Source organism: Homo sapiens, chromosome 18, assembly GCF_000001405.40.
Source record: "Homo sapiens chromosome 18, GRCh38.p14 Primary Assembly".
NCBI lineage: Eukaryota > Metazoa > Chordata > Mammalia > Primates > Hominidae > Homo > Homo sapiens.
The window spans coordinates 31,250,900-31,274,928 of NC_000018.10; the positions used below are offsets into that span (position 1 = coordinate 31,250,900).

The 24,029-nt window shown below is 34.8% G+C and overlaps 1 long non-coding RNA gene across 2 annotated transcripts in view, besides 1 other annotated feature; it reads left to right on the forward strand.

The window, feature by feature from the left end:
- The window catches only part of LOC105372049 (uncharacterized), a 34,186-nt gene extending 22,788 nt beyond the window's left edge, over window positions 1–11,398 (forward strand). Inside the window, exons 3-4 of one of the 2 annotated variants that reach the window (XR_001753388.2) lie at window positions 100–270; window positions 8,528–11,398. This is a non-coding gene — a long non-coding RNA (uncharacterized LOC105372049). Of the gene's footprint in view, window positions 1–99; window positions 4,043–8,527 lie in introns of those variants that run through there. The other variant, XR_935334.3, reaches the window with a different exon arrangement.
- Window positions 17,302–17,421: an enhancer, noted in NCBI's record as "active region_13196". NCBI's record gives its function as "activates an Ori minimal core promoter by ATAC-STARR-seq in GM12878 lymphoblastoid cells {active_cell/tissue: GM12878}" and the evidence as "EXISTENCE:reporter gene assay evidence [ECO:0000049][PMID:35858748]".

Sequence of the window (24,029 nt, forward strand, 5' to 3'; positions counted from 1 at the left end):
TTGGTTTTTCTTCCTGTTGCGATATATAGTATTTTACTGTTTATTTTAGAAAAAAACAGTTTCTAGAATATAAATCAAAGAAACTATACTACATTTCAGGAGACCTGTAATGATGTGGCTCTAAATGTCAGCTTTAAAAGCCTGGGAATTGATAGAGGAAGAGAGAAGAAAGGGTGTCCCAGTTTTCCACATGCCGAATGATTCAGCAAAATAATGTGAGCAAGTCAAGACTCTGGAAAATATTTTTAGATGCCAAACAAAAACCTGGAGGTAAATCTCTGCTACACTGTCAGTTAGGTTCTTAGCATCCAGTTTGATTTGTTGTACTTTAAAATGAATGGAAGAAATTATAAGGAGCACAGATAACTACAAATAATTCAAGGTTTGGGAAAATGAAATTGAATATAAAACTATGAAATGTTATAGTAGCTATAAAATCCTAGTTTTTCAGTGTAGAAGAGTAAAGGTTAAAGAATGACAGAAACTGTCTTGAAATAGACAAAAGGATATAAATATCACAATTATATCACTAGAGTAAACTTTAGATTTCTTTTCCCAACCCATATCCTGACTGTCTACCACCAACCACCATTTGACAGCAGAAGACACTGAGGCCAGGCAGGTGAAGCTGTTTGTTCAAGAACCAGAGTTGTTTCATGGGAGATCTAGAGATTAGAGCCCAAGCATCCTGACTTGTAGTTCTCTTTCCATTTCTTAAGATACAACCATTAGGTAATTTTATGGATTTTTTTCCCACAAATATACCAGGATCTACGATTGATATGAGCATTCGCATCATTGTAACTGCTTCAGAAAGCTGGAATAATAGAACATTTTAAAGTACTTCTTTTGGAACTATTTGTAGACCCAATTTAAAAGCCAGAAAAAGAACCTCACTGCTCTATAATTTTTATTCTGAAATATTTGCTTATGATCTATAATGCATTACCCAGCTTAAATAATAGATGAATCCAGCAACTTGTTTCTGAGTGACTTTTTGTCGTTGTTAAAAGTCAAATCCATCTTAGAGGACAGAGATTTTTCCCCAGAAACTCTGATGAAGGAAGGCTTTGAAAGTAATTCCAGGAAAGTCTTGAAATATTTTGAGATATGGCAACAATGTTGCCATAATGTGAATATTTTTCTTTTGAATATTTCTTTTAGTAATGCTATGGTATTAACAGTTTTTAAAATAAATCCTTTTCTTTTACAGCCCATTCCATTTGACTTGAGATATTAAAATCTTATGACAATCTATAAGCCAGACCAGTAGAAATGTGACAACCTCTTTATAGTCTTTAACTCTGCAACAGCTTTACAATTATAGAGATTAGAGAACCATTAGAATTGTGATACAAGTAATATAAGTATAGGTTTTAACACTGTCATCTGTCACTGCCATGTTCCTAACATATATAGATAAAGTATAGTTTTAAAAAAGGAATATAAAATACATTATTAATATGCTTTTTAAAGTAAATAAATACAGTTGTGGCCAGAAATGGGAACATTGTTTATGGATAGCTAAGGTATAGTAAAGTCATTGCTTTATTTTGGAGAAAGACAGAAAAATACAAGATAACTCTAGACTTCCTTACAAAAAAAGATATATATACACACACACATTAAAATTCAAAGATAAACACTAAAATAATAGATAAGTAACTCTTGCTTCTAGAAGTGTCCCCCATGTGGTAGAGTACTACAGCCTAGCTAATTGCTTAAAGCTGCAATTAGGGACGCTGAAGTGGAAACACCCACCACCTTTGAAATGAGGTTTAAAAAGCTTAAAATAATTCTTGCTTATGGTGAAGGCTTATGCAAAGTCACTAGGGAAGCTAGAGAGAGCAGACACACTTTGCAGTCAGGAACTGACTCTACACCTAGCTTAGTAACTGGGTCAGCATGTTGACCATAACAGCAGAGATGCTGTAAACCATGAATATAAGGCTTATAAATTAAAATTCCAAAAAGATGGCAGGAAGAAAGAAAACCAACAAAATCAACAATCAGAAAGTAAATTGTTCCAGATAAAATGAGCATGTAAGAGCAATCTGAAAATGATTTGAAAATAAACATGATTAGGATACTCAAAGAAATAAAGAAGGAAATTTCTGATAGAGAAAGAAATTATGAAACCAGACAAGACAGAAATGATACAAAAACAAAAGCATTTGAAAAAGAACACATTAGAAATCTTAAAAATCAAAATGTACTCATTGATGAAATTTTTAAAAAATCAACAGATGAGATATTCTCTAGACTGGACAGAAGGAGAGAGTTTAATAAATTGAAAGATAGTATTGTACACTTCCACCCAAATGCAACACAGAAAGATAAAAGGATTTTAAAGACACATGACGGAACAGTTAAGAATTAAGGAGGGGAGCCTGAGAGGAACCACCATTCAGTGGGGCTCCCAGTGAAGAAAGAGCTGAGAATCTTTCAGAACTGAAAAAAGATGTAAATCCTCAGATCACTGGTGCTGACGGAATAAATGAAAATAAATCCACGTATTTATTCTTGATTCCTAACTTGTTTTTAGGAAACGACTTTGAAGAAATAGATCATGGGGGTTAAATAGTAGAAGCAAGGAGATCAGTAGAACACAATTTTAATTTTTGGCTTCCCACCATCCTTTTAAAATGCATTCACTGGCTGTAATGTCACCCTGCCTCTAGATAAAATTGGGCTTTTGGCTTATTCTTAGATGAATAGAACTTTAAGGCATAAAATCAGAAAATGCAATTCAAATTTAGAAATCAAAATGTCCAGAAATAATATAATAAATGTGTAAATGTATTGAGAGAGAGAGAGAGGGTGCAAATAGGAGAATCAACTCTTCAATATTTATTCAATGCAAAGTTTTCTCCCCTTTTCCAATTAATGACTCTATAATTCCAGTTTTGCCTCTGAGAATAAGAGTGCTATTGGCTTCCTTTCTCTTTTTACTTTGTTTCGATATTTTACATTTTTTAAATACAAATTATATATATTTAAGGTGTACAATGTGATGTTTTGACATACATATACTACATAAACCTACTGAACTGATTACTACAGTCAAGGTAATTTACATATCCTTGTAAATCAAGGTAATTTACATTTTTTAACATAGTTACCTTTTTGTGGTGAAACTACTTAAGATATACTCTCAGTAAATTTCAAGTATACAACACAGTATTACTAACTATAGTCACTATGCTGTACATTAGATCTCTAGAATTTATTCATTTTATATAACTGAAACTTTGTAGCCTTTGACTGACATCTTCCCATTTTTCCCACCCACCCTTAACCCTGGCAACTACCGTTCTCACTCTGTGCTGCTATGACTATTTTAGATTCCACATATATGTGAGGTCAGACAGTATCTTTCTTTCTGTGCCAGGCTCATTTCGCTTAGCATAATGTATTTTAGTTTCACCCATGTTGTAAATGGCAGAATTTCCTTCTTTTTTAAGGTTGAATGATATCTTATTGTATGTAGTTGTGTATATACATTTCTTCAGCCATGCATCCGTTGACAGACATTTAGCTTATTTCTATAATTTTGCTATTGTGAATAATGCAGCAACGGGTATTAGGAGCACAGTGTCGTTGAGATATTGATTTTATTTCCTTCGGATATATATCCACTGTGGGACTTCTGAAATATATGGTAGTTCTAGGTTTAAGTTTTTGAGGAACCTCCATATTGTTTTTTAAAGCGGCTGTGCCAATTTATATTCTCACCAACAATGTATGAAAGCTCCCGCTTTTCCACATCCTCATCACTTTATCTTTTGTTTTTTAAATCATAACCATCCTAACAGACATGAAGTGATCTCTTATTATGGTTTTGATTTGCATTTTCCTGATGATTAACGATGTTGATCACCTTTTCATGCCCCTATTGGCCATCTGTATGTCTTCTTTGAAAAAAATGTCTTTTCAAATCCTTTGTACATTTTTTTTAAATCAGGCAACTTACCACTATTGAGTTGGAAAAATTCCTTATATATTTTTGATATTATCCTCTTATCAGATATATGGTTTGCAAATATTTTCTCCCAATCTTTAGGCTGCATTTTCATTTTCTTGATAGTTTATTTGGCATGAGGAGCTTTTTAGTTTGATGTAACTCCAGTTGTTTATTTTTGCTTTTATTGCCTGTACTTTTGGTGTCATATCCAAAAAATCATTGCCAAGATCAATGCCAAGGAGTTTTTCCCCTGTATTTCCTTCTAGTCTTACAGTTTCAAGTCATGTCTTATATTTGTCTTTAATCCATTTTTAGTTGCTTTTTGAATGTGTTGTAAGATAAGGGTCCAATTTCACTCTTTTGCATGCGGATATCCAGTTTTCCCAACACCATTTATTGAAGAGGATATCCTCTCTCCATTGTATGTTCTTAGTGACCTTGTCAAACATTAGCTGGGTGTGTATATGCATGGGTCTGGCTTTTGCTCTGAGGTTCCTCATTTCTAAGGGATGTTTGCACCCCTATCAGGGATAAAAGCAGAGGAAGGAAGGTGAGGTGAGAACTTGTACTTGATTGGGTGGCTTTACACATTCTTGTCCTGGCCATACTTCTCTAAGGGTTTTTGAGGGATGTACAGGAGCTCCCGCAGGCCCATTTCACAACAATGCTCAGGGTACGTGCAAAGGCCTAGCTTCACTGGTAGTTGTCTCTGCCCAGGAACACATGGTCAGAGTCCCTTCCCTCTTCCAGGACTCCATTCCAGCTCCCTGTCTGTATGGTCCACACATGTCCACAGGAAACACACATGTATCCTCCAGCTGAATACACTTGAGCTGCTCCAGCACAGCCACCCTTACTCTCCCACCAAGGAGTAAGTCATTAGCTTTCCCCCATGCTCCCCAGGAGCGGCATCAAAATAACAAAACAGAAACATCATTTAAGATGTATAAATCACCCTTATTAATCTGTCCAAAGGCTTTTCACTATTATTAGCAATCCAGAATAGTAAATATTTGTATGTAAATGAGGACATATGTGTGTAAAATAGTTTGGAATTTTTCAATAATCTTTGCTTCTTTCTGTCTCTCTCTTCTCTCTCTGTCTCTCTCTCTCTCTGTCTCTTTCAATTCTTGAGAATATATACATTCATCCAGACTGAGAATTTGTTGTATTTCAGAGCACAGCCTCACTCATCATAGTTTATTTGAATCAGAGAGTTGGACTATATAGTTAAGGCTCACAGAGACGGCAGGTTAGATCTTGCCTTCAGCCTAAGGGCAATGACATCCCTTGTTTTGCCAGTACTGCTGATTGAAAGTGGAACTTGCAGAACACACCCTTGGCTCTTAAAAACATTAGAATGAGCAATGGAGTATTATTTCATCAGTATCAGTCTGTGCTGTCTTAAATTTTGATTTTGGTTTCTTTTTTGCTCTTTATGATTGTTACTTAAATGTTTTTTAGCCAAAAGCCCAGTGGAAATGTTTACCCAATAGAAATATATAACTAACTTACTATGGAACAGTGATAGACAGAGGAGTGAGAATGGCAACACCAACACCGCCATGCCCACCTCCCCTTCATAGTCACTATTTCACAGATATCTTCTCCAGAGCTTGTCAACACTTGCTAATTACACTTTCAGGGGATGACCCATTTCTTTGAGCATTCACTTATTTTCATATTGTTTTAAGAAAAATCAGTCAAATCCTAGCGTTATTCATATTCATATTCAAAAATTATTTGCCTTTTTCCTCAAATTTTGTAAACAATGAATATCTCCAAATATAGAGAAGAAAGAGAAGAAGTAGGGTATGCATCATGAAAAGAACTCCATGAGGCTTATGAATTGGTATTGGCCCTGAGGTATACTCATCTCCTTTTAACCATATTAGTGATCATGTTTATTTGGATTTGCTCACTGAGGTGTGAGAGAACACACTACACACTACACACCTTCGGAGCTTGCAGCTCAGAATCTGAGGTCCACCATGGAGGAGAGAAGAATTTATCACTCACCCTGAACTCCATTGGAAAAAAAAAATGACTTTTCTTTAATTGTATGAAATCCCCAAGTGTCGCAAAACATTTTCATTAAAAATTTTAAGAGAAACCTCATCTTTGATTTCATTCATTTATTCATTCAACCAATGCGTGTTTTTGGAATACCTATACCTGCTACCTATAACTATAGACACTTGAAGAGAGGTTGAAGATACAATAGTGAACAAGACAGTCTCTGCTGTCATGAAGCTCACCGCCCATTGGGTTCATTTAATCCACAGTCTTTACTAAGCACTTACCATATGCCAGATGTTTCAAGGTCTGGGACACAGAAAAGAGACAGACAAGACATAAACAAGTTTTTTAAGTGTCATTTTAAAAACTAACATGTCCTATGAAGAAAATGAAACAGAGAAAAAATTTTAAAAGTGATAGCCGGTGCTATTTTTAATAAATTAAGCAAAGAAGTGATGCTTGAGCAAAGACCTGAATGATTAAGACAGTAAGTCAACCAAACATCTTGGGGAAGAGCATTTCAGGCAGAGAGAGCACAAAACAAGTCCTTGAATGAAGGAGGACAGTGGATTGCTTCCCTAAAATCTTGACAACACTTTTAAGCTCATATGAATAATTCCCAATTTTGCAATATTCAATTTTAAACCAATTTGCCATTAGATATATTATACACAACCAACTCTAACACATGCTTTTAACGTATGCTGAGTTTGAAGTTTGTGCAGCTTGACACTGCATGATTTTCTCTGCTCGCTTATTTATTTGTTTTCTTAGATTTGTATATACTATCACCCCTGAAATTTCCAGAAGAAATGTACATTATTCAAATATCTCAGTAGCCTATTATTTTTTCTTGGGGACAAATTTCCTATAGTCCTCTGTCCGCTGATCTGAATGGTTGTTCTCTAAGCTGGTTGTCATCCTTGATCTTCCTTTAAGCAGCATCTTGATTATTTTCTTCTCTTGTGTTGGAACTCCTGATTTTTGATCCCATGTCATCCTCTTTTTAAAGATTATTTCTCATTTTGATGCATGACATCTTCTGCTAGCTTCCTACAAAAGGACACATGAGAGAAAAAATTGAGGACACGGAATATCTGAAGATGTCTGTATTCTATCCTTTATCATCCATACTAAACTGACAGTTTGTCTAGGAATAGTATTTCGAGTTGGTAGTCATTTTCTCTAAGTATTTCAAAGACATTTATCTTTTGTTTCTATTGTTCAGAGTTGCTAAGAAGTTTGATGCCATTCATATTTAAGAATGAAGCAATGAAAAAGCTGAATAGAAGTGCACTGTGCATGAACAGGGAATGTCAATTTGTGGACTTTGTTACTGGGCAATCTAGCTAGGATATTACATTTGAGTACCCCAGATTCTTTTCTACAAAAGAATCTTTCATTTCTCTGCCTTGGAGAAATAATGCTGGCAGTCAACATCTTTGAGCTAATGAAGCAAAGTAGTCAGGATCTTAGCATTCAAAATACCTATATTTATTTAACCCATTTCACCATGGAGGTAATTGCAAGCTCAGAGTCTTTCTGAGATTTACTCAGTTACTCTCCAGAGAGTAACATTCTAATCTTCTTGGGTAAAGCAGGGACATCCATCAGCTGTGCAGAATTTGGAAGTTAGGGTACTAATTATTGCAATAATTAACTCTCAACCTTATTCTCGTCTCCCTCTGTATCTGTCTCCAATCCATGAGGCCTTTTAGGTTTTCAGATGTGAATGCATCTACTTTGGTTTCAACTCTCAGTCATCTACTGCTTCAACTTCCACTTGTCCATTTGATTTCTAACTTCCAAAACGTCATTACAATTGTCTGCTTTCTCTCTATCTTTACCCTTGTACACTAACAATTGTTTTAATCTCATTACCATCATTTAGGTTTGATTTCAGGTATATTCAACCTGTGGTATGTCTGTTGTTTTCCTCCCACAGTCAAATTCCTTTTCACAAAGAATTCCTATAAATGTAATTTTTTCTGTCTCATCTCAAGTAATTTCATCACTGTTTAAAGCTAACTGAAAGAAGCTTAGTTTCATATATGTACTATATTTGAGATACAGATAGAAATTACTAGGCTTGCCAAAAGCTGTGTATCTTTAGGTTCATTCTGATGCTTAGGGGATTTCAATCAGTTGCATATGTGAACAATTATAAGGTACACGAATGAGCTTAAAGGATGTGTTTTAAATGCTGAAAATGTATTATTGAAAGTTATGTTTCATACGTGGAGTATAATTAAGGATTTTACAATAGAACTTTTTCTACAACGAATAAGTTTATCACTAGTCTTTCAGAAATTTTAGTTTCAGAAAGTTTCAATAACGTATGTTCAGAACTAAAGAACTTCTCATATAATTTTAGGCCATCATCTTGAAATTAAGAAGTGTAAAAACTAAGTAACTGCTCAAATAGAACAGCATAAAGTATTTTGGTAATTCAGAGTTCTCTGTATATTTTCTGGAACTCTCTTGACTCATTAACTTTCTTTTTCAGTTGTGCAATAATGCTCCAATATCAAAATTTGTTTTTAGGCCAGACACGGTGGCCCACGCCTGTAATCCCAGCACTTTGGGAGGCCGAGGCAGGTGGATCACCTGAGGTCAGAAGTTCAAGACCAGCCTGGCAAGACAGCGAAACCCCATCTCTACTAAAAATTCAAAAATTAGTTCAGCATGGTGGCACACGCCTGTAATCCCAGCTATTTGGGAGGCTGAGGCAGGGGAATCGCTTGAACCCAAGAGACGGAAGTTGCAATGAGCTGATATTGCACCACTGTACTCCAACCTGGGCAACAAAGTGAGACTCCATCTCAAAAAAAAATTGTTTTTAAATAACAAAATTATTATTCATGTTAATAATAATGTGCTTCATGCCCACTGAAGCACAAATCAGTGTGTTACGTCTTGGCCTTAACAAGCAATCAAGCATACTTGAGCAGGTACAAAGCACTCGAGGGAACAAGAAATCAATGTAGTATAACTAAAAAGGTTAAATATTGGAGTTTGAACACAAGTATTTATTCTTCTTGACAAAATGCCACTAAATGACACAATTTTCTTTTTTAATATATTTATTTAATATTTTTAAGACTGAAGAAGGAAATCTTTTTTTTTTTAACTTTTATTTCAATAGTTTTGGTGGAACAGGTGGTGTTTGGTTGCGTGAATATGTTCTTTAGTGGTGAGTTCTGTGATTGCGATGCACCCACAATCACCTCAGCAGTGTACACTGTTCCCAATGTATGGTCTTTTATCCTTCACCCCCACCCGCCCTTTCCCCAGAAACCCCAAAGTCCATTATATCATTCCTGTGCCTTTGCATCCTCACAGCTTAGCTCCCACTGATAAGTGAGAACACACAATATTTGATTTTCCATTCCTGAGTTACTTCAGTTAGAATAATGGTAAATAACACAGTCTTAGAAGTTAAAAGATAATGGGGCCATATATTTAAAATTCTGAGGGGAATTCATTTCTAGCTTAGACTTTGATATCTATCATACAATCAACGAAGTGTGAGAGTAAATAAAATCATTATAATGTATGTCAAGTCTCAAAATGATTACTTGCAATGCACCTCTTCTTGGAAGCTGCTCTCTCACAAGGAAATAAGTCAAGAAAACAGAAATCATGGGACCTGAGAAGCAAGAGATCCAACAAAGGGGAGAGCAGCAGAAAAATCTACGTATGAAAGCTGGGGATGGTGGCTCAGGCTTGTAATCCCAGCACATTGGGAGGCTGAGGCAAGTGGATCATTTGAGGTTAGGAGTTCAAAACAGCCTAGCCATCATGGTGAAACCCCATCTCCATTAAAACACCAAAAAAAAAACAATTAGCAGAGTTGGTGGCGTGTAGTTGAGGCAGGAAAATCGCTTGAACCTGGGAGGCGGAGGCTGCAGTGAGCCGAGATCGCACCACTGCACTCCAGCCTGGATGACAGAGTGAGACTCTGTCTCAAAAAAAAAAAAAAAAAAAAAAAAAAGTCTAAGGATGAGAATGAAGGGAAGTCCTAAGATGAATCTGATAAGGAGAGCAAGCAGCCCAAACTGCAGCCCAGGTAGAATACTCCAGGAGGGAAACTTAAAAAACAAATCAAGCAAACTAACAATTAAACAAATTTTTAAAACTGAGTGAATGATTACCTAAGCTTTCAGAGTTCTGCAAATGTTGAGGATGACTTAATGAAAAATACATAGAAATGTAAGCATCAATTGTTAACGAATTCCAAGAGAAATGAAAAATTACACAAAAAGGATATTACCTGATTCAGCTGTAAATAATGCATATGAAGTCACAATAATATAAGCACTGAATTTTCATCTTAGTAAAAATTATGGAATAACCAAATTGGGAGGATGAGTTGAAAGATAAATATCTGCGTGAAACGAATTTTTCCACTTGTTGGTTTTAAAGAGAGCTAAATGATGGTCTCATTTTCTGTAGAAGGAATTTAATAGATTATATCTCAAATTTTGAACCGAAGAGAAGTCAACATAAGTACATTTAACAATGGGAAAGAAATCCCAGAAGATCAGAATTCAAAGAGGTTGCCTCTGGTGGGTAGGAATCAGGGATATGTAGGGATTGGACATTAAGACTGCTACTTTTTCTCATACTCTTGTCATTTCGACATTTTAAAACATATTTTTTATAATTGTGGACCAGCAGTTGGCAGATCCCGATTTAAGTCCAGTCTGGTTATTCAGGAGTCCAAGCAGGTTTACTGGGTCCCTTGAACTGTATTCCCCAAATTCCAGAGCAGTTTCTAGAACAAAATAAGGAATCTCCAAATATTTGCTCCAAAACACCTTCAGGCATGTTTTGAGCATATTTTCTGAACCCAGAAGCCCCAAATTCTTGACAAAGTGTAGCATAACCATATCCTGTTCCCAAACCACGGATTGTAAAGATTTGTGCTCAGCCAGACTCCTGCCCTCTGCAGCCCCCTGTTAAATGGATTCAGCAGACTGAGAAACAGTAAGGCTCAAAGTGGCCCATCACTTTTAAGAGATTTATCTGACAAGGTGGGGAATTTCCAAGGCATCTGAGGATTTCCTAAACTTTCAGAGACCCTGCAGGCTCAGGTTTCAACATGAGTCCTTGAGACAGTTCTGAATAACCAATAGAAGGGATGGTTCCACATGCCCAGAGCCAGGAGGGCAGGACGGGAGGGCACGCTCCCTTATGGCATGGAGTGTCTATTGGGGTAAAGAAAGAGCAAGGTCATTCGTTCTTAACTCAAATATATATCCATGTACCCAACAAATGTTTTCACAATAACTTTTAAAATCTTGTCTATCACACTTTAAAAGACTGAATATTCGTGTCCATTTAATTATTTTTAAAACTGGTGTTTTTGGAAATTTGAATATAAATAAAATAAAAAGGGAAGATGGAAGAAAATGGTGTCTGGCATTGTGTCTTATAGCACGCATCTCTGTTTTTCTGTGTCTCATGATGGTTGCTATTTACAAAGCAAACCACACCTCCTTAACATTTCTCCCTCAACTACAGATCCACATTCTTCCCTTATCAGGGTCTGGTTCCTCCTAATCAACCTAATGTTTAACTAAAGTAACTCATGCTTGTTTTACTTATTTGGCATGCTTTGCCTCCTCTGAGAAAATAATTTACACATTGAGCTGTTTTGAGTACACATTTTATTCAACTGTATATAGATATTTTATATTTATAAATGTACATCATTTTATAATGTTTCAGCCTATTTAACTTAATTACAAACAGATATAGCAACTGTCTGCAAGTCGTATTACAGTTGTAAAGTAAGGATGCATTGGAAGAGCTTCCTATTAATATAAATTACTTTTAAAAAGCTGTTTTATATCAATACAAAAAGTCTTAAATTTTGAAAGCATTAATTGTATCTTTTATTCACAACACCCTGATATTGGGCAAGATTTCAAATCAAAAGAATCCAAACCCAATTATTCCAGTAGAGATGATCATTTCCCATTCTTTGGCTAGTGACTGGATTTTTAATAACCTAAAACCTCGTTGTAAATCTTTGACTATAGCAGCCTTCAGGGAGCTTTGTGGTTTGGATTTTCGGCTGCTATCCCTAGTTGCTATCAGTTAAGGATAGAGCCCTGAACCAACTAGAACCATGTGGAGGACTCTGACGCCATGTTTACTATTCCATTACCTCCCCATATCAAAATAATGAACAAGCAAGAAAAAAATGGTATAAATTACCTAGAGGAGAATGCACAAATCTTAGTTGCACAGCTCAATGAATTTTGACATAAGTATATCCCCATATGTATATCCCCAAATTTGACATATGTATATCCCCAGGTGACAAATATCCAGATCAAGAACACATTGATCACCCAAGAGAACTCCTCCAGGCCTCTTAGTGGCCCTCCCCTGTCCCAGATGTAAGTTCTTTTCTGATATCTATCACCATGAGTTAGTTTTGCATGATTTTCAAACGAAGTTAATACAAGCGAAATTATAGTCTATACTCTTCTGTGCCTGTTTTCTTTTGAAATTAATATAACATTTTTGAGATAAACATAAGACCTAAGTATGGAAAAAACAAAGTAAAATGACCTTGCTTCTAAGACACCTTGATTATGTATTTAAAAGTCCAAAAGCATTTGGAATAAAACGCCTATAAATAGTGAGATATTTAGCAAGGTCAAGAGATACAACGTCACTATACAGTAATCAATTATATCTCACTATATGTTTTGAATAACTTTATGGTTGATCCAATAATAAATTATTTGCTGAAATGAAAGTGTTCTTAAATATACACCCAGTGACACATAGAAACATAACTCTAAAACAAACATGATTAATGAGGTGAAAAAAGACCTAACATATCCCTAATACCTAGTAGACAATTAAGGTTTGTTTTTCTTGTTTTTGAGACGAAGTCTCACTCTGTCGCCCAGGCTGAAGTGCGGTGGTGCAATCTAGGCTCACTGCAACCTCTGCCTCCTGGGTTCAAGCAATTCTCATGCCTCAGCCCCTCAAGTAGCAGAGACGACGGGCACGCACCACCACGCCTTGCTTATTTTTGTATTTGTAGTAGAGACCATTTCACCATGTTGCCCAGGCTGTTCTGGAACTCCTGGAATCAAGCAATCCACCCACCTGGGCCTCCCGCAGTTTGAGGATTACAGGAATGAGCCCCCGCGCCTGGCCAAGATTTTTTTTTTTTTAAATAAAGTACTAGGCAATGCACATAAGAAAATATTAGCTCTTATATTTATCATTTTGTCCTTCCTTTGAGGAACTTTTTAAATATTATATATAATATATGTCATATTATATATATCATATAATATATAGTGTATCATATATGTAATATATTATATATTATATATTTATAATACAATTTAAAATGCTATATTATATATAATATTTTAAAATTACATTCACATAGAAATAAGGATATATGTATATATCTCTTTATCACAAAGTATTTCATAGAGTATGAACCACTGGAAATGGGACTTTGTGTTTCTATTCTGTGCTTTTAAAAAAAGATCATCTTATGAGTAAGGAATAAAATGGAAAACATTTAGATTATCTTAAAAACTGAACTACCTCTATACACTCAGGGTGCATCTGTGTGGATGTGCATGTGCACATGTTCTTTTTTTAGAAATTATTAACACTCAGAAAAATAAATGGCCAAATGAAACAGGGGGAAGTCTTAAATAGATGTAATCAAGTGAAGTAAAATGTAGGGCTGGCCGAAGACTTCGTAAAAAGCAAGGTTACCAGACAACTTATTTTCTATAACTAGATAAATGAATATAGGTGGCCATAAACACCTATCTTTTGAGTTTTCTATGTGCTAGACAGTATGCTAAAGATTTCACATTCCTCATCTCATTTAGCCTCAATAAAAACTAAAGCAGGTATTATTTCCTTATTTTATATACAAGAAACCAAGGTTTTGAGAGTTGAGGGGTTACTTCCCCAAGATTACACAATAAGTAAGTTAAAGAGACCAAGATTCAAATCAAGAGCTCACTTCTGGCTGGGTGCGGTGGCTCACGCCTGTAATCCCAGTACTTTGGGAGGCCGAGGTGGGTGGATCACCTGAGGTCAGGAGTTTAAGACCAGCCTGGCCAACATAGTGAAACCCCATCTCTACTTAAATAAAAAAAAATAGTGGGGCGTGGTGGTACGCACCTGTAATCCCAGCTACTTGGGAGGTTGAGGCAGGAGAATCGCTTGAACCCAGGAAGCAGAGGTTGCAGTGAGCCGAGATCGCGCCATTGCACTCCAGCCTCGGGGACAAGAGTGAGACTTCGTCTGAAAAAAAAAAAAAAGAGCTCACTTCCAGGCCTGGACACCATCTTCTTTGCTGCCTTCCTAAATATAAGTGAATATTCTCCATTTCCTTTTTGATCATCCTCTAAGTGCAGGGGTAAATTGTTATTTATAAGAAAATGTTCTTAAGTGTCTCAACTGCAATGAAATAGATCCTCAAAACGTGTAAGAGCAATGTGATGGAGAGACTAGATTCTAATAAATGAGGTCATAAAAACTGATGTAAAAAACTGTTATATGTTTGTTTAGCAAGCATTGACCTATAACAGTCACTTTCATGTGTGATTTTCGTGTAAACATCATAGCAACGACATAGAAAAGTAATTCCACAATTTCACAGAGGTGCACACTTGGGCTCAGAGAAGGAAATGATTTTTACTCAAAATCACAACCACTGTTTATAACTGGACAGTCACAGAGCTCCCACAAATTGAGGCACTCACTGAAAGGAAAATGCAAATGGTCAATAAAATATTTTTAAAGCCTCAACGTCATTAAAATCGGAGAAATTAACATTTCAACCACAAATCATACAAAGCTTTAACCATCAAACTGACAAATGTAAAGAGTTCAAACTTTTCCATTGATGAAAGGATGTTCAGAGAAAGTCACTGCACAAAAAGATGTTTAAAAGAGGTGTGAGGGGGATTTAGAGGTGGAGTACAAAGAAATAATTAACTTTGTGTAATTATTATGAAATTGCAGTGGTTAAAATAAAACATGTTCCTTTTGTGAAAGAAAAAAAGACTCTAATAAGCTAATGTTTTTTGTATAGGTATATGTGTTTTGGAAGAATGTTAATTCAATGGAAACATAAAAATGTGACTATACATAGCAAGATATGTAAAGAAACACTTTTTAATTATTATTTTTCTATAATATTAGTCTTCAGGTCATGATGAGAATTGAGGAAACTGAGGAGTTTATTGTCAATTCCAAAACTCTTTTTAAATCCTTAGTTTTGGGCAAATTTACATTTGTGATGAGCTATGACTTTGAACAGTACTATTTCAACGCAGTATTAAGTGAAAATTATTTTTGAAATAAAAGCATGATTTATTTGATCACATCTTATGGAATTAATTAAGCATAACTATATTAATTGCTACATAACTGAGAGCAAATTAATTGTAAGTAAATTACTTTATCACTGAATCCCTTTTAAGCAGTAGTATTATTTAATTATTGATCACTTGTAGTGGTTAATATATTTTGCAAATTCAGGGATGATACTTAAAAGTATATAAAATTTGCATCATGTCTTCTTTAATGAAAAATGTTTTTTTCTCAATGGAATAACAAAGCACATTTCAAATGTGTTCCAAAATAGAATTTGTAAATATTAACAGTACTTTTCAATTCTCTCTTATTAGGTAAAAAAAAAATTATAATTTGAGCACAGAGAATTTTCAATGCCCCTTAAACAGAAATGTCTTCCTTAATATCATAAATACAAAATTATCATAAGGTAAAATTTCCTGAAGGTGGCAGCATCCTAAGCAAATCTGTCTCCAACCTTTGCAGCAGGCAGTTTTTATGTATGGAGTAATATTACATTTCCTAATAAAAGGGATTAACAACAATACCACTCATTAATAATTATGAAAACAATGTAATAGTACTCATCATGACATGATTTCTTGAAGATTTATACAGTATAGTCTCTACTGAGGAATACATAAGTTGAACTCAATATAAATATTTTTTCAAGGTTTTTCTGAAATCTGTGAAGATTTCTGTTGATTCTCTGATTACACTAATTTTTTTTCTTGCTGAAACGTTATCTAAGTGAGAAAGTGACAGGCATACATTTTAACGTTCTAACTTTCATTTTGAGTCATACTTTAGACAAAAATAATAGGCCGGGTGCGGTGGCTCACGCCTGTAATCCCTGCATTTTGGGAGGCCGAGGCGGGCGGATCATGAGGTCAGGAGATTGAGACCATCCTGGCTAACACGGTGAAACCCCGTCTCTACTAAAAATACAAAAAGTTAGCCGGACGTGGTGGCGGGCACCTGTAGTCCCAGCTACTCGGGAGGCTGAGGCAGGAGAATGGTGTGAACCCGGGAGGCGGAGCTTGCAGTGAGCTGAGATCGTGCCACTGCACTCCAGCCTGGGCGACGAGCGAGACTCCGTCTCAAAAAATAATAATAATAATAATAATAATATTAATGCCAATTCCTTCTACATATTTCTTGAAATGTGAGGAAAATAATGATAACAAATGCTATGACTATGATTTTTGAAACTAAGAGTGGGCCCATAAATTGGGAAATAAATCTTAATTTAAACATTGGGTTTTAAAGTACTTACTCAATTCACTTCACAGTTACTTTGAAATAAAACCCCACAAACTTTTCTTATCTGACAATAAAATATAGTTTGATGATTTACTTTTGAAACTGTAATGCACTACACAGGTGGTTGTGGCTGTTATCATTATTTTTAAAAGCCAAGTTTCCACATCTGTACTTTGTGATCAGGGACTCTAATAGCAAGAAATAGTTGTATCATTGGTCAACAGAGTTATTTTGAACCTAGGTATTTTCCTTCAAAATGAGATGTGCTTTCCCCCGTCATAATAATTTTGATTCCATCACTTCTTTGTTATTCCATCTCTAAAAATGAAGATAAACATCTAAATTCTACAGTGTTTGGTCAATAACCTCCCTATTTAGATTTTAGTGCCCATTCATCATTATGCATATACCAAATTAGATTGCTGTAGAAGCAAATGTTTCTCAGAAAAATAATGAAACCCTTTATTTCATAGGTTCAGAGACATGTTGCTTCTTTGTAAATGGTAACTTGCCAGCCAGCTAACCCACGGTTAAGCAAAGATAAACTCCCTGGAAGGCAACAGATGTAATCTCAGCATTATTTTTTCTTCAGAGTTTTCCCAACCAGAATTTTTGTCTCTATTCCTGTTGCATTTTCATGTTTTCTTTCTTTCCATTTCTTTCTTTCTCTTTCCCATACTCTTCTGCATATGATTATTTTCTTCCTTTTTTTTTTCTTTCTTTTTTTCACCTCTGTCCTTCTCTCTGCAGTTTCTGATGCTGTGAACCTAGTGAATATTAAGGGACTTTCCTGGGGTATTTCCCAGAGGTTGAAGAAAAGCACCAGGACTGTGAAGTCACAGAAGCAGCCACAACACAGACTCTGGGAGGATGGGAAATGGCTAAAGTCATGATTTAGCCAGATGTTACAGAGTACAGGAAAAATAGAAAGTGAAGACCGGAAAAGTTCTATGCACTTTACTGAAATTGAAAACCCAAAATTCTCAACATGTTCATCCAATAAATTTTTTATATATATTTGGGATAAGTAAATTAAAATTGTATAAAAGATTTGTCTTAAATTCCTCAGCTAATATAGACAAAGTAGTACGACTGCACAAGCATTATCATAGATTCAGATGCGGGTATGGAGAGAGAAGAACTGGTCTGCTTTATTATATATTTTGCCAAATAGAGCTTATGGAAGAGAAGATATAAGAAAAATAATGAGGAACCTGTTTTAAACTGGATATGGGATAACTTCAGCATAAGTGATAGAATAGAAGAGAGAAAAGTAAAAAAAGGAGAAAACAGGCATGACTGACTAGTATGGGAATGTGAAAGAAATAAGAAAGAAATAAAAGTAGAAATGCAAAAAGCAATGGAAGGGTTCATATAAGTGATCAATAATTGCATCAGAATAAAATTAAGGGATATGGCCAATGGGGAAAAAGGATAATCAGGAGATTATCTGATTATAAAAGATAATGTTTGGAATAAGAGAGAGAGAGCAAAGGAAAGAGAGACAGAGAGAGAGAGATGATCAAGAGACCTGGGGAAAAAAATCTTGTTGACTGAAGTAGTAAGGTGGAAATAAATTTGGAAAGTAACATGGAGGAAGAAGCAGTAAAATGTTGTCATGAATAAAAGGAGAGCTGGTCTGAGATCATCTGCCAAGTGGAGGAGATGTGGACACCTGAGACAAAGGAAATATCAGTGACTACTGAGCGAGGAGTTGGAGCTTTGCCATAAACCAAGTAAAGTGAAAACACTAGTTCTTGCCAGCAAGCTGACTTTCACATGAAAGGGCAACAAACACATAATTTAATTATCATTGAAAGCAAAAATGACACCAACTGTGTTTTAAACTCTTCCTCATCTCATGGGATGTGATAATAAGTGAATCATGACAGCATCAAGCTCATTTCTGGTGCTTCACTAAAGTAACACAGTAAAAACATTAGCAGTCAAGAATTTGTGTAATTATTCAGTATCATCTTCCTGGAAAATTTTAGATACTTTGCAATTGAGATGCATTTACATGTTTCCTGATTCCTTCTTCAAAATAAAGGTCCATATGCAGTTTTTTGCCAAAACGAACAGAGAACGGAGAGGCAAAGCAGAACTACCCCAAGCTAACCTCCTTTGCCCATGGGTAGAACAGGCTTGTCACACCGAAAGTGAAAAACTCCCCATTAGAATATTGACTCTCCTCTGTAAACATCCAGTACAAGGAAATAAGAATACATGGATGCAAAGTAAACTCTTAGTTTCTACAATTGGTAGATAAAAGCTGGTGTTAATTTTTCTTTAAGCAGCCCAGGGTGCTTGACCTCCTTGAATCTACCTATGGTGTCGGAGGAATTCGTTGACATAAAGGTCCCCCAGCTCAGCAAGAGATAAGCCAGGGAAACATTGGAGTTTATGGCCGGGTTCTCCTGATACTGTTAGAACACTAAACCTTAGGGAAAGGACTATTTTTTTTTCTTCAAACTTCAGGGAGGCAGGCTTAGAATTAATTGCCCTTCCAGACAGAGAAGAGAGAATGTGATGCCTCTGGACACAGCAGTGTCTTGAACTTAAGACAAGGACATTGCAGTGTATTTTTCTGGCCGCCTTCTTTTAGTCAGTTCTAAAGGGATTCAAAAAGCTCTTTATAAAAGCAAATTTAGAAGAAGCTCTGTCCAAACTCATAGAGTAAGTTTAATTACTTCTAAAATTAACATAAAATGTGGAAAAGTGCACCTGTTATAGGCATATGCCTCAATAAATTTTTACCAGGTAACTAGACCCATGTAACCAGCTCCTTAATCATGATCTAGAACATTACTAGAAGGCCAGCCATCACTAACTCTCCAAATGTCACCACTGGCATGAATACTGATAACAAAGTTTTGCCTGTTTTTGTTTTTTGGTTTTTGTTTGTTTACATTAAATAAATGAAATAATGCTATATGTTCTCCTTTGTGACATATAGCTTCTTCCACTCAATAGTATGTTAGTCTGATTCATCCACATATTTTGGGATTGTTCTGAGTTGGTTATTCTCATTGCTCTATAGTATTCCATTATATGAATGTGCTGTAATGTATTATTCAACCTATTATTGATGATGTTAAAAGAAAAACTTCGGCCAAATTAAATTTAAAGTAGTTTTATTGAACAATGAACAATTTGTGAGTCAAGCAGCCCTCAGAATCACTGCAAATTCAGGGAGACTCCAGGGATGCCTCAAGGTCAGAACAAATTCATAGACAAAAAAAAGGGAAGTGATGTACAGAAATCCAAAGTGAGGTACAGAAACAGCTGAATTGGTTACAGGTTGGCCTTTGCCTTATTTGAACACAGTTTGAACACTTGGCAGCGTTTGAGTGGTTGAAGTAAGGCTGCTGGGATTGGCCAAGACTCAGCGATTGTTACAGGCCCATACTCCTAAATTAGGTTTTCAATCTTGTCTACCTATTAAGTTAGATTACTGTTCATCCACGATGACTCAAATATAGAAGTATGGAGCCATTCTCAGGACATATTTAGTTTGCTTTAACGATGGACGTTTGAATAGTTTCTAGTTTGGGGACATTATTAATAGTCCTGCTATGGATATGCTTATATGTGTCTTTCAGTGTGTATATTATTCACTTCTGAAAGGGATAGGTGGAATTGCTAAGCCATAGGTTATGTATATGTTCCTGTGTTTTACTAGATAGTGCCAAATAATTTTCCAAAGTATTTCTATCAATTTATATTTTAATTGTAATGTACGAGAGCTCCAACTGCTCTACATTTTTAATAACTCTTGACATTTTCCATCTTTTTATTTTAGTTTTCTAATGGGTGACCATATGGCTTTAGAGCTGTACTGTAGGAATAGTTGAAGAGTCTCAGACCAAATCCTGAAAATTCCAGTTGTAAATGATATATTTGGGTCTCACATCCTACTCGGGTATGTGATTTTGGTGATTGAAAATAAATTGATTTCTAAAAAAACCTACCTAGCAAACAACTTTACTCATCAACAAAAACTGTGAAAAGCAGTTGTGGGGCCAATTCTTCAATTCATTACATCCAACAAACCTCCAGTTTCAAGGATTATATTTTTTCTAGTAATTTCATTTTTCTTCCGAATAGTTTTACTTTTAACCAGTCTAGTTATCTACTCTTTTATAGGTTTATCCAAAATGCTTTAGTTTTTTCAAAGCCATAAAGGAATCTTTAGAAAACTTGTTATACATGAAAATGTTGTTCATTAAGTTATTACTATATGCTATTAATCATGATAATTATCAGGGATCCAAAGATGAATAAAATAGAGTCCATTTTTCAGTGATTTACAAACTAAGGAGTAGATAATAATAGCTAACATTCTTTAAGTGTTTACTATGTATATTTTACATGTATTATCTCATTTAATACTTACAACAAATATACTAGTAGGTTCTACTATTGTCCCCTATTATAGATGAGGAAACTGAGGCACAGAGATGTAAAGAAACTTATCCAAGGTAGCAATGATGTTGAAATATGATTCAAATCTGGGAAGTCTGATTTCAGAGTACACTTTAAACCATTACGCCACCTTATGACTACAACAAAAGGTACACTAGAATATGTGCTTTAAAATACGGCTAAAAACAAAGTTATTGAGAAGATATTAAGTGGGAGAGCTGAGTTCAGACTGTGAGAGTTGGGAACTTTATGGAAATGGCCAGGTATTTAAAATTAGGTAGTACTTTCAAAGAAAAAATGAAGAGAAATGGAATTCACATAGTGGTAATAACACAGATTCTAAGCTCCTTGGGGGAAGGAAGTGTGCTTTTTGTTACTGTAAACTGATCGACTAGAAAAAGGTCTGTGAGTGAGCTGATGTTGAATGAACATAGAGATTTGGGGCGTGTCAAGCATCATAGGCATCCTGTGGCCATATGCTACAGTTTAATGTCACTGAAAGAACATGCATGAACATGTGAGTGGGTGAAGATTGATGTTCAGAGCATATTTGGGAAAGCAGTACTTGTGGGTCAACATAATCAAAGAATAGGAGCTTAGCATAAGGTGTAAAATGTCTCATTCTGTACAATTTACTTTATACTGTCAAGTTGGAATCCCTGATTGAAATGATTTCTTCCAAAATTCTATGAGTGGTTTTTCCAAAGAAGCATTAAATTTATTTGCATATAAACTAGGCCAAATTTTAAACTGTTCTCAATAATGTTATTTTCATATAATAGCTTTTATATCTTAAGTACCTTAAAGAAATTATTGACCCCAAATATTACTTCAGTGTTAAAGAGGAAAAATGAATATAAAATATGCTTCAAATAACAAATATTGAGCAGATATAAATAAGATGAATAAATAAACCAACAATGGCCAAGTAAAGATATTTTAAAATTAGGAACCTAATAGTAGTTGAAAAATATTTATCTTTGCCTATAATTTTTAAAATGTAAAATGTAGATTATAACAACCTTGAGATAATATGTTACACCTGTAAGAGTGACAGAAATATTTTCAATGATAATGCTGGCTATGTTGTGATCAAATTGGCCAAACAAAACATTGTTAGTAACTTTATAAATTATAGAATCCTTTTGGAAACAATATGTTTCAACAATCATGAAAAAATTCATATCATAGTTATATCGTTTTTGGAAAGTTGCTCATTTATTTACTTAACAGATTTTTATTGAGCACCTATGCTGGTGGCCTAGAACATAAATATCGGCGATATGTATCACCTTCCTTCAAAAAGCTAATATACTAATTGAAGGCTTGAAACAAATCATAAAATACTTTTAGTTGAGTAATAGCTTTAATAAGGTATAATATGCATGGGAAAAAAAGAAAACCAAGAATAAATTATCCTTAGGAAACCGTTTTATTTAAACAGCAAAAGGCGGATTCATGAAGATGTCTGCAATAACAAAACATAATAAAGGGATACAAAACTCCCCAAACCTAAAATATATTGACTTGATAAGATAGTTTAAAGCATTCAGATAAGACAGGGTAGAATATGACAATACTTTTATAATTGCAGAACCATAGTAAATAAAAAGATAATAAAATGGCATTTAATGTTATGTTTTTTGTCCAGTAAATGGTAAACTTTATTTATTTGATGGTTCTTGGAAAGTTGAAGAAAAATCTCTTTGAATTATAAAATTATAGAGATTATACCTGAATAAAATTGAAAACTCTGCTATGTTAAGTTGTGGAATGTTAAGGCAAATTAGTATTACATTTGCACCATATATTCCAAGAAATTCAAAATTGCTCTAAATTATAAACACAGTATTTCTTTCAAATAAGTGGGTATTGTTTGGTGGCTATCTCAATATTTTTCATGCAAGAAAAATGAAGCCGAGATTATTTAAATGACGTGTCACTTGTTTGATACAACAGGAGAGGCTCTTTAACTCAACTTAACAATGATTTCCAATGGGTTCAGCAGCATCTAATCAGAAACTTTCAAAGCAACCTTTTCTTTATCTGCCAGACTTTGAATATGGAACACAGTGTGTTTTTTTTCACCAGGTATTATATTATAGCACTATAAAGTCATTCTGGATGTCTAACTATGACACTTCTTTGTACAAAGTTCACAGATATAAAATTTTGAAAAAATTTTGAGCCAGTAAAATTTCTTCCAGAAGGCAAAATTCCATGAGGTTTTGTTTTTAATATCTGCATACACACAGTTTTCATCATCAAAGCAAGTTAATAGTATTGCAAGAAAAATAACTCTCAGGATTATACTATAATCACATAGACTTTTCAGCATTGACCCCTGCTGTTATTAGGTGGAATACTACTTTAAGTATGGCTGCAAACACTTGTACCTAATTGCACTTGTGAAGTAAATAACAATGCTTGGATTGTGCCCTTTCCTGCTCCAAAGCTGTTTGCAGTTGTACCAACAAGTTGATAGGTACGATTTGACCTCTGGCTCACAAGTTTGAAAACAAATGGCCCGTGCACATTTCAGACAATTATTTCTTTAGAACAATTTATGTTGGTCCCAGCTTTTACGTAAGTATTCTATAAAAGAAAGGTGTTACGTAGTATAATGTTTCTACAGAAATCTTTAACTCTTTAAAAGTTGGAAAGAAAAGTTATGTCTTCAAATAAGTTATTTTTAATTTTTCAAAGAAAATGCTTCGTGATTATTTATTTGACTTTGCACAGTCTAAATTGAAAACTGAAACAAGTCTTTTTACTTAGAAAAAAAGAATTATCAATTCTTTGAATAGATCTAATAATACTGAATAGACCTAATGTTTTAGAACTATATCTATCTGTGCTTTCACAGAGCCAAGTTTGTGAGATAGACACAACACTAATTAATATTTCTCTTATTCTTTTAAAATGGGAAAAGTAATAAAGATATTAGCCAATTATGTTTCTTATTGCTCTCCTTATGTTCTCAGACATTTAGCTG